At 36.9% G+C, this 18,858-nt stretch overlaps 1 protein-coding gene across 5 annotated transcripts in view, besides 1 other annotated feature; it reads left to right on the top strand.

Moving 5' to 3' along the window:
• The window catches only part of MACROD2 (mono-ADP ribosylhydrolase 2), a 2,057,682-nt gene that overhangs the window by 1,325,119 nt on the left and 713,705 nt on the right, over nucleotides 1–18,858 (top strand). The window lies entirely within an intron of this gene.
• Nucleotides 15,274–15,775: an enhancer, noted in NCBI's record as "NANOG hESC enhancer chr20:15316554-15317055 (GRCh37/hg19 assembly coordinates)". NCBI's record gives its function as "activates a minimal SCP1, AML or CMV promoter by ChIP-STARR-seq in primed H9 embryonic stem cells {active_cell/tissue: H9 hESC(primed)}" and the evidence as "EXISTENCE:reporter gene assay evidence [ECO:0000049][PMID:30033119]".

Below are 18,858 nucleotides of genomic sequence, written 5' to 3' on the forward strand. Positions count from 1 at the left end.
GTAAGTAATACTAGCTTCAATTGCTAGTGTTTCTTTCTAATGCAGCAGTCCATTGTGGGTATTCCTGAGTAGGGAAACATTATCTATGGTCATCAGGCACTTACTCCTTAGGTCCCTGTAGTATTCTTCTATCAACCAGCAAGCAGAGAAAGACATGGTAGATCTCTTATGGAAAGTTGTTATGAGATGGTACTGGATAATGGAATACATCACTTCTTTTCAAACTCCACTGATGGTAACTCAGTGTCATTGCCCTGCCTAGCCACAGCAGAGGCTGAGACATGTAGACTGTGTTTCAGGAAGAAGAAAAAGATTTGGGTGAGGAAAAAAACAACTCTTGAGGTATCGTACTTGTATGAAGCTTCTTGTTCAGTTTGTGATAAGCACTTAATAAATATGAACTCTCTTCTTTGTGGGTAAGTGAGAATCCCTGGCAGCTTCTGCAAAGTTGTTTCAAAATGCATGCCATCCTGATGACAGGCCACTCGTTGTGGCCTTATGGCAAAGTCAGTTGATAGGGCTGCCAGGCAGACAGTGAGCAGAATTCTTTCTGGACTCTGTTCCTGCTTGTTCTTTTTTTCTTTTGTGTTTTGGAACTTCCCTTGACTTTGGTCCCATTTAGTTTCCCAATGTCTAACTTGCATTTACCCTTCTTTCACAGCTTGCTCACCTTTAGCTTCTATCTGACTAGGTCTTTGTGTTTTCATTTTGCCCTCTCAACAAACTATTTCTAGTCCTTAGCTCAGTAGCTTCACTGAGCAGGCCCATAAACTCCCTTTTGCCATTTCCACTTCCCAGTCATATCTTGAAGACTTCCAACTTAAACACATTAATTTATGCTTGGGATGATTGTTAAAATTTCTCTATTCCTACATCTTGTAATTAGCTTAGCTGATTTTTAAAACAAATCCTCTAAGAATTATTTTTATGAAGGCCATCTGGTAAAACAAATTAATCTCCAAGGAATGTTAATCAGACTAATTGCTAATTAGGTGTCCTCCTTGATTCTATTAGTTATAGATTGGAAAGTGTTTGTCATATACATTAATTTTTGCAAAGATAGTGAGAAAACATTATTTTTTGCCCTGCAAGAGAACAAGTGAATCCATTTGCATGTATAATGTATGTGTGTGGTGATATTAAAAGATATCCATTTTTTGTTGTTGTTGTTTTTTTGAGACAGAGTCTCACTCTGTTGCCCAGGCTGGAGTGCAGTTGCATGATCTCGACTCACTGCAACCTCTGCCTCCTGGGTTCAAGTAATTCTCCTACCTCAGCCTCCCAAGTATCTGGGACTACAGGCACATGCCACCATGCCCAGCTAATTATTGTATTTTTAGTAGAGACAGGTATTCACCATGTTGGCCAGGATGGTCTCAATCTCTTGACCTTGTGATCTGCCCGCCTCGGCCTCCCAAAGTGCTGGGATTACAGGCATGAGCCACTGCACCCGGCCACTACACACAGTCTTTAAACTTAAGGGGTTGAAATTTATTCTAATTGTTAGTGTCTCAGCTTCATTATTCCTCAAATGGTTTTGTGGTTCATGGAGCTTCAGAAATATGTTTTTAAACATACAAAAAAAATGCCAGTGGATTCAACTCAATGAAAGATGGCAAATGAGTTTAATTTTATATACCAATGGTCTGATAGGAATTACCTTGAGTATATTGTAGAGAATGCCTGGGTGGGACGGGGATATTTACCATGCACTCACTATGCTCCTCTGTAATGGACTGAGTAGTGATTCACAAAAATGGAGCCACAAATAATAAAAAATCATTTGTGCTGACCCTGAAAATGTGAGCCTCAAAATAAGACAAAATTAATCAGAACCAGACAAACTTTAAGGGAAACCCTAGTTCTTTATTGAAATGTCTTTGTGCCAAGGTAGTTAAGTGAAAGAATGGATGAAAACCAAAATTCGTACTCTCCCCCGCTCAACTATTTAGCCTGAGGTAATTATTCACTTATGGAAAGGAGTGAGTATTTTTGGTCAAAGTAATTTAGGTTTTATGAATGATTTCTTCCTGTGGTTTTATACATATTTGTAGAGAGTATGAATGACATTCTCCCTGAATTTGTCTTCTATTTAGTGGTGGATTGGTTTCACAGTTGTATGAGACTTCAGGGATCTTCCTTTTTCCTCTTTTGTTGTGAATTCTCTTTTTATAATAGAAGCATGAAAAAAGTCTGCCTATTAGAAATGTGACCTTGGAATCCATGAATCCATGAATCCATATTTGGAATCCATATTTATAAGAAATGAAATGTGGTATCAAGGAAGGAATTTTGTCTGGAAAGTCAGATCTGAATTCTGGTCCTGCCTCTCTGTCAGTGAGCCCTGTGGTTGTGGCTAAGTTGTTCCATGGTCTCTAATGACCTCAACTATGAAATAAGAGCTTGGGGTTCAGTTTTTAGGTAGAATAATGCTGTATGTTGATGTTGACATTCTGCCATTCTGCAGTGATATATTGCTTAATTTGCCTTTGCCAGTTATTGAGCACGAGGGGGCAGTAATTGGCAGATTGCCCCCTTTATTTCTTCTTGACAAACAGCCAAATTTTTTGGCAGCTGGGAATTGTTATTCTTCACCATCCTGCCATCACTGACAGATGCATTTGACAGGACCATTGGCTTGCAATGCCATTCCACTCTTACAAGTAAAGTCTATAATGCTTAAAGAAAAATAAAAACATATGATATTCAACTTTTACAAAAGAGTACATATAATATTCTTTATCTGTCAATGTAAAAATGGTCAGAAACTTTTCAGATATATTTGATTTTCCTTTCCATGAAGGCTTCATTTTTGTAAGGATTTTTAAAAATTAATAGAGAAAAAAACCCCATAAGGACTCTCAAACCAGTGGTCTAAAATGGAATTAATTTTGTCCCCATCAATTGCTATTTCTTTGCAAATATTTCTTATCTTGGTGAATGATGAACCATTTAGCCTCTGACCCAAGCCATAAACCTGTTAGTTGTCCCCCTTAGCTTTTCTTTTCCCACACCCCTCCATCATCTTGCATTCTGTCTAATTGATTCAGTAAATCTGGTTGATTCTACTTCTTGTGTATTTTTATTATTTTTCCTTTCTTCTCCACTGGAAACTTTTATGACTCTAGTTTATACTCTCATCTAGGTCACTGCCTATGTCCCTAAGTTGTATCCCCAGTGTCTAATGCCATCACACTCCCTCCTTTACCCTCACCCCAGGCTACACTTGAACAGGTAGAGCAGGGAATGCCATGTAGACCTCATGTAGCCAAGTTGGAGGCCCTTTCCAGTTCATCCCCTTGACTTTATTTTAAATAATACATGAATAGGATTGCAGAACTTTTTTTTTTGTTTTCTGTGATGCTCATGCTTGTGCTTCTTCTGTTCAATGTGACAAGGAACAAGATCTCTACAATGAATTGTACCAATGCTCCAGGAAATACTTGCCCCATTTTTTTTTAATTTTAGTTTGGTTTAATTCCTCTAAAGTAACATCAAGCAATGTGCTATAAAACAGAAATATGTCTTGAGAGATAGTTATTCTCTCTTTCTCTCTCTCAATTTAAAAAGGGTTCAATTTTTTACTGCTTCAGGCAAGTACAATTTTCACATACTCTGACATCTCATGAAACCTATAGCCAAAGATTTAGGTATAACCTGAATTCTTCCCCTTCAGCTCAGTCTTTGATTGTATACATGCTCATCCCTATCCTCAAGAAGAAGTTTACATCTTATCTCCTCTCTGAAACCCGTATACAACACCCCAATTCAGTAATTTTGCTGGGGACTCCTAATGCTCTTCTTGTTTATATATATCAGCAGCTAACGCCTGTTTTGTATGAGCTTTCTCTATATGTATCATGATTTGCCAAAAACATTGTCAACTCTTTGATGGCATAGACCCTGCAATTAAGCCCTCAGATTCCCTTGTTTAACTGATGGCCCAGATAGCAAATGCTTGAAATTGAAGTAACGTTCTCCTTAGCCTCTAACCTGTGTCATCACATTAGCTGACCTTAATCAGGGCATTAAAAACACCTAAATAGAGACTGGTGGCCTTCGAAGGAGGTCTTTTTTGTCCTTAGAATTTTTAAATAAATCCCACTGTCAAAGTCATCAACCACAAGGGAAGTAGAAAAGGTGGTGTTGGTCTTTAGCACAATTAAAGAACCTATTAGCTAAATCCCTGGCAGGCCAAATATGAAGGCAATATAGGTAAGTCTTATTACACTCTGAAAATCAGGATTAAATATTTACAAGTTTGCATAACTTGACCTTTCTTGCAAAGAGTATTAAAACTGTTTTTAAAGAATTCCTTCTGCTCCTATGTAAAAGGGCATTCATAAGGCCTCCTTCCACAGGTGGACAAAGTGTTCATCTTTGGACTTACTGATAAAAATTTTGGCTCTTCTGAGGTAGTAGCAGAGACAGGGTAGTCAGGGTAGACAGGGTAGAATGCTAACTGTATCCTCACCACCTGACAATAGAAGTTTAAAGATGTAAAAGTATGATAACATACAATCTTTCACCCCATTGGTCCTTGTTGTCAATAGCTCTGGATAGCTAGGAATGTATTTACTTCCTTCTTTTGCCAGGGTTCATTATTTGTACCTTGCAAATCTGAACATTTGGCCAAAGTCTATGACCTTTTGAGGTACAAGGAAATGGATTTTTAGTTAAGAATATTTACAAAATTAAAATTACAAAACCTTGTCCCAGCTAAAGCTTGAAACACATCTGTGTTTGTTCACAGCTTGTAACATTTGAGGCTCCCCATCATGTTAAATCCTTCCTTTTTATTTTAAAGTTTGCCTTCTCATATGCCATTGTTCTCCTTTATATTTGAGATGATGGTCTAGGTTTTCAGACAGCTCTGGGAAGGCAGGTGTTAAATTTTAAGCTAGTGCTTGGTAACCTCCATGGTGAAATATGCCACTGTTTAACAGATGACTACTGTGCTGTGGACAGCAGTGCCCCAGGAGAGAGGAGGTGTTTGTTCCAGAATCTAATCAAGCTATGGCCTGTCTGCATCCTAACTTATGCAGTGTAATCACTTGTATCATTCGTGGCATGTCTTCCATTAATCAGAGCTAGTGCAGGTACCAAGGGAACAGGGGTTCCATTAGCATGACATATGGTGGCCTTCCCAAAGTTTTGGATGTTTTGGAAGATGGTTGCAGGGTTTGTACCAGTCATACAAGAGCTGCTTAATGACTTAGATATTAGTAAACTTTTTCCCAGGCATTTAATATCTTCCCCGTTTCCTCTTAGTAATCGTAGTTAGGTTCTTGATGTCCCCTGTGACATTTTTATATCCATCACCTTCAGGTCCAAACTGTTTGATTTGCTGCTTCATCTTGGACTCCTCATATGTGCTTCTAGAGAACAAGTATATAAAAAAGAAAGTATGTTTTCTTAATTGCAAAAGTGATGAATGAGGTAGGCAATCAGGACTGTTTTTCATATTTTCAGAGATGCTGAAAATACATTTAGATTTGTTTTCAGAACAAAATGAGAAAATTGTTTTGGAAAAAATGTTATAAGTTTGGTTACTTTGGAAATGTCTTCATAAATACTCATCTTGATAATATAATTTATCTTTGCTAGTCTCATATAACAATATTGTTGCCTTTAAAATGGAAATTTGTAAGAAGTTTAAAATTCCAGCTTTACATACAGCCCCCTTTAAACCTCCCCAGGCATTCATAGATATGTTAAAATATATCTAAAATAATACTAAAGCATTACATTTTTTTACCTTATTGGATAAGCTAATATAAAAGATGTTTTATCCATTTCACATAATTTTAAATTTTAAAAATATGAAGACCTTATGTTATTTAAAATTTATTAACAATTTATACACTCCCTTCTCCTGACAAGTCCCCATATATTCTTAAAGATAAATTCCCTATAACCATTTTTTAAAGTAAATGGTATATGCTTCTATCTGTCTTGGCTATCACGCATCTATCTTGGAAGAAAATTGTTGGGTTCCAGGACTGAATATTGTACTCACATTTGGATAAGACAAGGATGGGGCTCTAAGAAAAAAAGCAAGAGAGAGTTGTGTGCATCACAAAGATGATGCCTCTCCCGTGTCCCCATCTCCAAGACCAAGCATATACAGAAATAGCCACAGGTGGCTAGAGAAGGAAGACCAGAAGACATCCAGGAGCATATGGCAAGGCAGGAACTATTCCACATTGCAGGGTGAGGGAAGAGTTAAACTGGTGGAGAGCAAATCAGAAATGCGGTGAATTCCCAAAATATTGGGACAACAACAACATGACTTTGGCTATTGTAGGGGATGAAAATACCTTTTCCACACTCATCTTAGGTTCATGGCTGAAGCCCCTACAACAAAATACAGATTAATAAGAGAAATGTGTATGAATTTATTTAATATACATTTTACGTAATACAGAAGCCTTCATAAGGAAATGAAGACCTGAAGAAATCATAAATGTTTGTATTTTTTTGCTAGGTTTGACAAAGAGTGGACACTCACGGGCATGTATGATTGGAGGAAAAAATGTTTTAATCTAATAATAACAAACTGGGAGAAACTTAGAAAGGCCTATTTGTTCAGATTACTTTCTGTGTCCTTGTGTCTTCTGAGATAAGAATATTCCCTTTTTCTGGGTACAGGGATTGCACCTCTCACATGATGGTCACGTGACTTCACAAAGGCGAGGAGAAGGTGAGAGTGATCCCCTTATTTGTCCATTCTCATGCTGCTAATAAAGACATATCTGCCACTGGATAATTTCTAAAGGAAAGAGATTTAACTGATTTACAGTTTGGCATGACTGGAATCCTCAGGAAACTTAAAATCATGGCAGAAGGGGAAGCAAACACGTCCTTCTTCATATGGTGGCAGCAAGGAGAAGTGCCAAGCAAAAGGGGGAAAAGCCCCTTATAAAACCCTCAGATCTCACGAGAACTCACTCACTATCATGAGAACAGCATGGGGGTAACTGCCCCCATGATTAAATTACCTCCCACAACACATGGGGGTTATGGGAACTACAATTCAAGATGAAATTTGGGTGGGGACATAGCCAAACTATATCACTGCCCCCTACTTCTGCTGTTTTCTCATACACCAGCATGCCATATTTTGGGGTAGTGTGTCCTGAACCCCATCACTATCATGTGATGGATGATTGGGTTATATATTCTATCCAGCCCTTACTCTCAACCTGAGATAGCTAAAGTTCATTAAAATAGATTTTTGCTTCTACTATGTATCAGGGACTGGTCTAGGTACTTGACACATATCAGTTAATGAAACAGAATTATCACTATCCTTGTGGAGTTTACAGAAAATAAGCAGTAAACTTAACAAATAACTAAATTATATAGTATGTTAAAATTGATAAGTAGAATATATATTTTTATAAAATGAAGATGAGAAGGATCAGAAGGGTCAAATAATTGGGGCCAAGGTCCAAGGTGGGGATGTCACTGCACAGTATTTAATGGGGTGGTTGGTTAGGACAGGCCTCATTAGGAAGGTAATAGTTAGATAAATTTTTGAGAGCAGTTAGGGAATTTGACAAGCAGATACCTGTGGCAAGAGCATTCCAGGAAGTCAGAACAGTAATAACAAAGACTCAGGAAGGAGGCCAGTCTGGCTGGACACTGTGGCCAGAGGGAGAGAGGAGGGGATGAGTGCCGAGGTGCAATACCACATCTGATCATGTAAGTCCATGCAATGACCTTGACTTTTACTCTGAGTGAAACAAAGCAGTTTTAGCATTTTCAGCAGAGGAGAAAAACACTCTGATTTATGTTTTCAAATGAATCCTTCTGGCAGTTAAATGAGAATAGACATAGAGAGATTTTTGACATCATTGCTACTTGTCTGGAGTTCTCATTAAGACACAGACCTAGAATTGTCCCCATAAATATTTAAATCAGAGTCACCAAACATGACCTGGTGTCAAACCACAACCTGGACAGAAATTAATTGCATTGCACAGCTAAACCTGGGGTCTCCCTGCTGGCCATATCAGTGGACTTGCCCTGATCATTTTCTTAATCTTACATTAACACACCACATTATATGCAATTGAATTCCTTAGATGCCACTTATTATTTTATGGCAGTTTTACTGAATGTATCGAAACCCTTAAAGATGTTCTTTTTCTTTGACATAACAATTACACTCTTAGAAATTTCCTTAAAGAAAATTATCTAAAATTCAGAAAAGAATGCCAAAAGATATTTACCAAAGTATAATAGTATATAATAGTGTGCGTATATATGTATATATAAAATAGTGATAAATTAGAAATGATCTAAATATACAGCGATGAAGAAATGGTTAAAATACTATGGTGTATTTATAAGGTAAAACACTATACACCATTGAAAACAATGTTAATTATTGGAAAATTCTTATGAAATAATGCAAATAAAAGTAGGAAACAAAACATACAGAAAAAATCTAAAAGGAAATGCAGCAGATGTTAGCAGAGTCTATTCGATTGTGTAAAATATTCTTCTTTATGTTCCTCTGTATTTACCCTTCTTCCATCCACCATTTTCAAATTATTTTATGAAGTTTTCTCCAGAAGATACCATAATGAAAAAGCTTAGAGACAATCCCAAGGTCAAGTTCAGAGTGTATGATAGAGGCCCTTTGGACTTGTTCAGGGTGAGAGTGGTGTATCTGTAGGTGATTTAGGGTGACGTTTGGAATCTGGAGATCTCAGTCTACATGAATACATTGCTCATCTGGCACTTGGGTAGGTTATACTTTCCCAGGTAGTTCAGCTTTAAAGAAATGATCATATCCTTTAAAAACAATACCAGTCAGGTGCAGTGGCTCATGTCTGTAATCCCAGCACTTAGGAAGGCAGAGGTGAGAGGACTGTTTGAACCCAGGAGCTCAGGACCAGCCTGGGCAACATAGCAAGACCCCATTCTTCACACAGAAAAAATAAAGTACATAAAAATAAAAGTAATATCAAAAAATGAAAATACAATATTTTAAAACAAAATCTTGAAGTGAATTCACAAATTTTTCAGATGTGTGTTTAAATACACATCTTTCTCCTTGAGAGTCTAGCTTCTATGCTAGTGGTTCTCAAAGGGGGCTTAAACTTGTTAGTAATGCAGATAATTTTAGGATTCTATCCCCGACCTACTGAAACAGAAACGCTGATGGCAATCTATTGGTGGGGCTCAGGCGTGCTACCCCAAAATGCTGCACCTTTGGCATTTGAGAAAACAGCAGACACAGAGGAGGGTCACTCTTACTTTTTCCTCTCCCTTGTAAAATCATAAGACCCTTATTTGAGAGGTGCCTTCGCTATACCCAGAAGAAACATCCTTATCTCTGAAGACACCGGGACATAGAAGAATCTGAGCAAACAGGCCTTGCTAAGTTTCCCCGAGTTTATCACCTCCTTTGTCCAGTCATACTTCTCCGGGACTGTCCACTCTTCAAACCTAAGCATAAAAGTACACAAGCTAATCTGTTTCTTTGGGTCTTCATTTTCTCATGAAGTCTCCTATGTCATGTAAAACTTATATTAAATAAATCTGCATTTATTTAATATCTTCTTTGTATGGAGCCTCCACCATGAACCGAGCAATGGGCCAGGAAAAGACATCTTTTCCTCCCCTACAACGTGTTTTAACAAGCCCTCCATGTGATTGTCAGGCAGGGCTCTAAATTTGGCAAGCACTGCTTGGTGTTGAGTATTCAGAAGTGACAGACTTTGGTAGACTCCAGGCTCAGCAGGCAGCCCTGCCTTCAGAGCATCCGTCCATGAAAACGGATGGAAAATGCAGAAGGGCCTCTCCCTATCAGAAGGAGAACTGAGCCCCAATCAAGGTGTAGATTAGTGGTTGGGCATGTAGAGGAGGGCTGATGGAAGATTATAAGCAGACCATTTCCAGAGCAACAAAAAATGTAGGACTGCTTCCTATTTCAAGTTCTATTTCTAGTAACCCAAACTGATGTTAGATGATCACAGCAAGAAAAAAAAATGTGCCAAAGCTAATTCAGGAAACTGCCACCTGTTTGGGGTGGGGTAGTCAATATCACAGGTAGAATGGAAGACTTCCTTTGCACTTCTGACTAATGGATTAAAGTGACAAAATTCAAACTGGGCTGTTAAGTCATTCTCTATAATATTGTGGAATCGCTAGGTTTTATAAGCTCAGAAGGCATCTCAAGTTTAGAATCCAAGAGTAAAATTCTGTTCTCAGCAAGCTTCTTACTGCCCTGAAGTAATTTCTCAGATGGGCCCACGTGTCTTCTGCCCCTGGCTATCTCTTACTTGTGGCTTGCATAAAAGCCTCTACGTGCACTGCTGTCGTTATTTTTTTCTTTGAAAACGGAGGCAAAAATACTTCAGCTTTGATGCCTTATGAAAAGAGAAAATCGTGACATCTTCTTAATATGAAAAACTAGACAAGGTTGTTAATATTTAATTGTCTAAGCCAGATGCAGTAACACATGCGAATGTGTTCATAAGTTTGGAACAGGGGATGCATTTGATTTACTCTTCTACAACTTTCCAAGTGTATTTTCATTATTTTACAGAAGCTCATATAAATAACTGATAAAATCGACTTGTTAAAAAATTAATTGGATTTGTAATATAAAGAATTCTTTTTACCCATAGTAATATTTGTTCGTTATAGATTTTATCTTTAATTTTTAAACTTCTGTTATTTTGAACCTGGTGAGGTCTACTTGGTTGAACTATTAATGAACCACATGCCAACTAAAGTTGATGTGATTCTTTCATAAATCAGTATATGCATTTATAATGCACATCAATTTTTTTTCTAGAAGATACTATGTGTGAAAATGTATTAATTTAAAAGAATTAGTTAACTTCAAAGAGATGCCTTGGAAATTTTATCTTAAAAATTAAAAAAGAAAAGAAAATAAATAACTGAGCTTCAGACAATTTATGCTCAGTCCTCAGAACATAAGCTCTAAACCATATAAAACTTTATTTGGTCAGTTGCTCAAAATAGTATCAAATGGGACCATCTTCCCAACCAGACTTTCTTCTCTTCTCTTGCAAAACTTCTCTTCTCATGTCATTTTCAAGAACTTGCTTTATGAATACCTTTTCTTGTACTTTCTGAGAGTATCAGATTGCAAATACATATCCATACATGTATGCATATATGCAAACATACACACACATGCACACACACATAAAACTTCTCTAGGGTAATTTTCAGATGGCAAAACAAAGCAACTCTTCCTCTGCTCTTCACTCTATACATAATTTTTTAAAATGTGTTATTCCTGCAATAGTAGTTAAAAAGAAAATAGTATATATCGACCTGAAAGTGTATCTCCCCAGCTCACAGAGGGGTCTTATTTCACTATGATAAAAACAAAATTAAGGTTATAGTTAATAGGTGAAAGCAAAGATCTTAATCAGGATGAGTTCAAAATGCTAAAGAAATGGGTATTGTGTAGGAAATGGGAAAAGTTTGAACTGATAGTGTGGGCTCTCCAGTGCTGTTGACATGGGCATATCATTTTTGTCCAGGTTAAAAGAATATTTAAATATTCTTTTAATGCAAAATGCAAAAAATGCATTTGCTGCTAAAGTAATGTATTATTTAACATAGCTGAATAAATCCAGTTCAATCATTTGAGAAGTGCACATAATAAAATAATGCTTCAGCCTAATCAATCTAAGGCTTTTATTTACTCTAGATCTATACTTCATACGCTTAGGAGGAAGGTTTTTTGCTCTAAAAATTAGGCGCAAGTAAAATTTTTCCTAAAGTATGAAATAGGGATCTAAATTTGGGCCTCACAGGCCAGCATTACAATTATAATATATGTGATGAATTAATGTGATTAATTTATAATTGATTTAGATAAAAACAAGCTTTAAATATGGGATTCCTAATACAAATGTACAGTATTCACATTTTACTAAGGAAAGAGGCTGTTCTTACAGCCCCTTTGAAAGAGGCCGTTCCTACAGCCCCTTTGAAAGAGGCCTTTCATGAGACGATATATGACGTGAATATTGTTATTATTTATTTTGGTCTTCTTACGTCAGCATTTCAGCTATCCTTTATAGTTGCTTTGATATATGTTTCTTCTATCAGTTTGTGTAAAGAAGCCATCCCTCCATGACCTTTGTATGAATATGAGTGTCCTTTTCTGTTGGGGATAGAAGCTGAGACCACAGATTTCTTTGCACAGCAACTCAGATCACTAGTCCATGAAGTTAGAATGGAGGAGAAATTACTGGCAGGAAACTCAGAAGTCTGCCTTTAGCAAGGAGGAAGAGGAAGCTCAGCTTCTCCCTCTTGGCACCATTTCTGTTAGTCTGAGACCTGTAATGTGTGGTTAGAGGTGGTAAAACCCAATGGGTAGATGCTCTTTAGGCTTGAGTAATATAGAACTCTTGAATAATTGGAAGAAATGAAAGTAGAGTTCTTTCAAGTAGGAACACAAAGCTATTTACCTAGAGCAATGGTTCCCAGAGTGCAGTCCTCAGATCGGCATCTTCTACATCAACCTGATCTTCTTAGAAGTGCAAAATTTTCAGCCCCACTCCAAGCCCAGTGCATGAGAAACTCCAGGTATGGGACCCAGCAATTTGTTTTGGTAAACTCTCCAGGTGATTCTGATGCATACTTATATTTGAAAATCATATTCTTTAGAGGGTCAGTAGCCTCTTTTCTGCTGCCTCTTTCAGCTAAAGAGCATTCAGCCTCTTAAGCTCAGTTTCATTTCCTTTCTCCTCGAAAGCGAATTGTTTCCTTGACAGGTAGGTAGTTTAGATTTTTGAAATGCAGAATTGAGAGAAAGGGGAAGAGAATTGGATCAGAACTGAGAGAGAAATTTTCTCAAGAGCTTGGAGAAGATCAGCGCTGGAAGAAGAGTTTCAGGTAGGGGAAAATAGACATGTAGCCATCGAGTCTGAAGTCATCTGGGGTTTGAATCTTGGTTCTGCCACTTAGATGATGCAGGGCTTTGGTCCACTTATGGGGCTTCTCTAGGACTCAGTTTCCTCATATGTACAATGGAGATAAAACAACAGTAATTTCCTCAAAGGCGTGTTAGGAGGTTCAATTAGTTAATGTATTATATGGAGTATGACACGATGTTCAATATCCATTAGGTATCATTGCTGGATGAAGTATATTCTATTAATTGTGTTCAGAAAAAAGGGAGCAACGAATCACAGTGATTTGAACTTTACTTTTTGATTGCTGGACTGGTTACTTTGCTTAAAAAAATGCTTTCTGAGAACAGACCACATGGGTCACAGCTTCAAGAAAATTTCAAAAGGAATATATTTTTCCAAGTAGAGCAATGTTAAAAGACATTCAGAATCCAAGACAAATAAAATGCTCTGTTATTACAAAGCTATTGTAGGTCCTCAGTTATCATTCTCTCTGCTCCAACTCTTTGAAAAGCTCTTCCCAAAACAGAGGGACACAAGTTCTTTGTCCCCTGTTCCCTCATGAGCAAACTGAAGGCTTCTTTGCCTCCTAGTATATGGGTCTTTTATTTCTAAAACTGACTTCTTAAAGATGTCAACTAGCTTTCTTGTGTGCAGGTCTTAAAACATGATTCCTTCAGCACTGGATTGAATATCCAGTGAAGATTTCTGTAATAACTTTCTAAGTTCTTTTTTTCCTCTATCATAGAGTTCCATTGGCCAATAAGAAGAGCATTTTGACTCACCAACATAGATTTTTATTTTTGACCTCTTCACTCTATTAATGGCAAATAGTAAAAGATTACATAGTGTGGTGGAAACAGCAAGATATTTGGAGCCAGACAAGGTAGTTCTGACTCAACCTCTAATTAGCTTTTTGACTTAGGAAAGTCATTTATCTTCTTGGATCAATTTTCTCACTTAGTTCAGCTTTCAACTAGGACAATAGAACCTTACAGGGATGAAGAGACAATCAAGTGGGGGAAAAATGATTTTTTTTAAAAAAAAACTGCAAAGTGCCATTCAAATGTTAGCTATTGAGAGTTAATGATAATTAACATTCACTGAGTGTGGATGAAGAGCTGGGCACCATGGAAAGTCTCATATATACATATCTATATTTATTTACAAATAGATATAAGATTATTGCAATGTATATTATGTTCAATTTGTTAAATTTACACAGCTAGTAAATAAAACTTAGAAAATGTAATTTTCTTAGCTCATGTTTAAACATTTAAACCTCGATTAGAAACATGATCAGCTTTGGTCTGAAAATAAGAGAAAACTCTGACACAATCTGATGAAACCAATAAGGATACTTGCTATCGCTCATAACGTGAAGTTCAGAGAGACAGTGGACGCCAGAGTGTCTTTAACCATATTCTTATAGTTACCATCTTTTATGACAATCATCACAGTAGGCTGTGTTAGAAATTTCTAAAGCTGGGAAAGGCTTCAGCAGTCAGAGTCTAGACTGTTTTCTTACAGCAGGGAAAATCAAGATTGGAGTTTCAAGGAGCTAACTCATGATAGCACCAGGGGATGGTCCCTTCATCCAATCCCTGATTGGAAAACAACCCTAGGCCATGACAGTGGCAGGGACTTAGTTTGCTTAGTGACTTGCTCTTTATAATTTCTAGATAAATCTGCATTTTGCTTCACTCTTCTCTCATCAGAGAGGTTGAGTTCTTCAAACACTTTTGTTGTTATTTCTCAATTCAAAGAGCAACATAAGAAAGACATGCTCTTACTAGGTCATTCCAAGGTTTTTTTTTCCATCTATTATATGTAATCAGATTTGTATCTCTGTTGTAGAAAGTCTTATTTTTCTTTATGTCTGTTAAAATACCAGTAGGTTCTCTATTCTGCTAATGTAATATTTCTTTTTTTTGCTGTTCCTTTGAGCTGGGGCACATTTTATTGTTTTGTGTTAATTCTGTGATTTTAAGTCTGTATATCAAAATTGTAGTCCTACTAGGCATGTAAATATTATAATAAATACATTAGTAATGCAGACAGCCTACAAAATAGTTTGCTAGTTTGCTCTAAAGATATTTCTGGCTGTGATAATGATTAATTTCAGATACCCTGCATCATAATTTTCTTGAAATATGTAAATTACTTCCCTCTCAAAATTTCTTATGTAGAAACACACACACGCACAGACACACATACACACACATATTTAGCAGGTCGAAATGAGGTTCTTGAATCTGCACAAAAGTTGTTGATGCCAAGCCCAAACAGTACAATTGTGAGTGCAGCTGGTCAGGTCTTCAATACCGTTCCCTTCTCCTCACCATTCTTCATGCCCAAGGGGTCTATTTGCATTTCCTAGAACATGCCTTGCGCTTTCTAGCCTTCAGACCTTTTCTCCCAGTTTGTCCTTCACTTAGGATGTCTTCTTTTAGTATCTCCAACTAAATGAACCCCACCCTTTCACCAATAGGGTTGAAAATACATTTTCTCAATATCTCAGACAATCCCAGGCCAGACAAAACCCCAAGGGCCAGTTATCTTTTGCATTTCTTGAGCACTGGTTGAGCATCGTGTTAGTAAAATTAAATGTTAATCTCAAACACAGAGTTTGAGAGGAAGGCATTCCTGTTTTGCAAGTCATTGTAATTTCCCCCGCAGGTAGCACTGTGCTTTTAGATGAAGCTCAGTAGGTGGAGGCTTAATAAACTGTTTTTTGGATTGATGGTATGATTAGAAGTAAGAAGACAATTTTGGCTTAACTAAGAGAAAATTACAAACTAGAATTAATTGTGTGTTTTAACCAAAAAAAAAAAAGAAAAAAAAAGGTGTGGAATTGATCTTTTGTTTACTGTAAACATGTTTTCCTTTTAAAACCTTTCACAGAGACTGAGTAATTTTGTGCTATCTCTTTGACCCATCTTTTGCCTGCACCCTCTCATCTCTTTCTGCATCACCCTCATGAGGGGCCAAGCTTTCTTTTTAGGTTGCTCTCTTCCTTTTCAATGTGTTTATGTATTTTTCTTCTTAGAAGTTTTGGGAAGAATTCAGTTACATTTCAAAAGTCTTGCTCTTCAGAATTAAACCTTTAGCCCTGTGCCTTTTGATTGGCTCTAAAAGTGCGTGTGTGGCCTGCGGGGACAGTTGTCAGCGTGGCATCTTTCTTCCAGTGTGCCCCTCTCCTGCCCTTAAGCATTCCATTTTTCCTTTTAACCGTAACACTGTTGCTTTAAGTTGATTTTCAACAGGTCTTTTGACTTTGATGATTTCCCAAGATATTGCATGTGTGAGGTGAGGAGGGTGTATGCGGACTTGTTCTTTCCTGGGTTAGTGACTAGCCTGAGAGAGTTTAAGGAGCTAAACACAACTATTTCCTTGAGTATGAGAATTATGATTGAATATAGCTCTATTTTTCTCCACCCTTGTCTTTGACATAGTCTTCTCACTTTCTGCATCTTTCTGAAACATCTATAATAGTTTTGACCCTGAACTTTATTCTCTTAACCAGTCCTATCAATATTGTACCGTTTTGAAGTTAGGAGGTCATAAAGCCATTAACTAATTTGGAAGATTCATCAATGGCTTTGAAGAGCTTTACAAAATATGCTGAGTATTCTCAAAAATCAAATCAGATCAAGTTAGAATTTTAAGAATTTATTGGGCATATAAAGAACAGTTTGTGTTTTGTTTTGTTTGTTCGGTTGGTTTTGATTTTTTTTCCTGGAGAAAGGTTAGTGGCTCCCAGAGAGTCTAGGGCAAAAGGCTAGTAGGGCCTGATCTAGGAAAGACTTCTTGACATTTACTTGAGAGGGGCATGCAAAGGTAAATCAAACCATTTTTTTACACAGTTTTAGGGCTACTTAGTTTTTCTTTTAAGATTTTCTTTAAACGTCTGCATAAAGGTTTTATTTATGTTTTAATTGACTAATAAAAATTACATATATTTGTTGTTTACAATATGATGTCTTGAAATATCTTTACATTGTAGAATGGGTTAATCAAGCTAAGGAATGCATACATTACCACACATACTTATTTATTATGGTGAGAACACTTAAAATTTACTCTCAACTTTCAAGAATACAACATATTGTTAGTAACTATAGTCACCATGTTGTAATGTACAATAGGTCAAAAAAAAAGAGAACAGTTCATGAATTGGGAGACTTTGACATGGAAACATGACATGAGTCTCAATATTACAACAATTACAGTACAGCTTGTAGAACATATAGAAGGAAGGATTTTGATCTTTTTTCATGATTGGTTATATCATTTTTGAAGGCCATTAGGGCTGTTTAAGCTCATTTCTCTGTAGCTGTATTGGTTTAGTTACACTGAATCATGTTAGTAAAGGACTAAAAGCTTACGTTTGTGTTTTGTTTACATTTCACGTTAGCCTTTCAGGGAAATCAGGATGATATAAGTTTTGGTTACTTGACTATAGGCAGTTGGCCTTGGGGTAGGTAAATGGTGGCCTTCATTTTTATTTATTTATTTATTAACAGTACCCTCTCTTTTTCAGGTGAGCTAAACTATTTATCCAAGCAATGCTTATTTCTCCCTATCTGCCTCTCTCTTCTCTTCTCCTCGCTAAACACAGACACAAACCCCAATTAGACTGTAATATTACGGTATAGTTTTGATTCTACCCATCGTGACTTATGAGACATTGCTTAAATACACGCTCTTATTTTTTATTCATCCAAATCTCCTCATCCAGCTTTTCACCCATGTTTTTCTTCATATGCTGATGAATTCCTTTCCCAGAGAATCTAGCCAATTCTTTTGAGGCTGGCTGCTAGCTCCCTCCCCAAGGCCTCCACTTCAAAGTGCCCTGCTGCCATAGCGGAACCACCAACAATCTTTTTCAAAACAACCTGGATTTTTTTTTTTCTCCTTAGGTCTGGGTATCAATCAGACACAGAGGAGCTGATGAGAACTGGTAACCTAAAACAGGATGCTAAGAAGCATCACTGACATTTATCTGGGCCTTAATGTGTGGCAGGAATTTTTCTAAGGACTTTTCCTTATGTGATTTCATTTAATCATCTGAATAACTCCATAAAGTATTATTATTATTATCCTCATTTTTCAGATGAAGAAACAGGCCTAGGGGGGTAAGTTACTTGCCTAACGTCTTTTAGTACAAGATGGGGCTTGGATTATGAACACAGAGGATCAGCCTCCAGAATTTCAGTTCTTAAGCACTCTGCCAAATGGTGCATTATACAAGTAGGTACACACCCCTATTTTCAAACCTTGACTGGAAACACAAGCATTATGGTTCATTTTAAAATACAATGTTAACTTTTCAGTTTATAAGCATGATGTTCACAATTTAGATGATACACTTTGGAATGGTACACTCTGTATATTTGGGACATTTCATTTGGCAGCCACTGAAGCTTGTTAATATCAACAACTGGCTTCATTGGCTCCTTCAAATAAACCCGTTTAATCTATTATAGCTGGCCTCTAGCAAATATGCCATAAGTAGAAATAAATTTTGAGTTAAAGAATATTCACCGTGATTAGAAGCTCAAAAGAAGTATTTTAAATGTGTGTGTCTGTATTTGGGTATGTATAAATAGATAGGTAGATAGACAGATGGGTACATGATAGATACCTTTGAAAACCTTTTTCAGTTATGAAAGCATTTAGTATATAGTGTTAATAGAATTTTATCTATCATAGGTTAGGTGTATTCTGATGTTCAGTTTATGTTTTTAAAATAATTTGGCAGAAATAAAAGTATTGACAGGTGGATTGCCACTTTGGCAATTTTCACTCTAAGACATCAATCGACAAAGCACCAAACAGCAAAACATATTACTCATTGACTGGTAAGTCATAAGCCCCAGAGGCTGTTGATCATCCTGGATGCTGGATGCTTGCCTACTGTAGGACAGATGGAAGAACT

The sequence above is a fragment of the Homo sapiens genome, chromosome 20 (genome assembly GCF_000001405.40).
Source record: "Homo sapiens chromosome 20, GRCh38.p14 Primary Assembly".
NCBI lineage: Eukaryota > Metazoa > Chordata > Mammalia > Primates > Hominidae > Homo > Homo sapiens.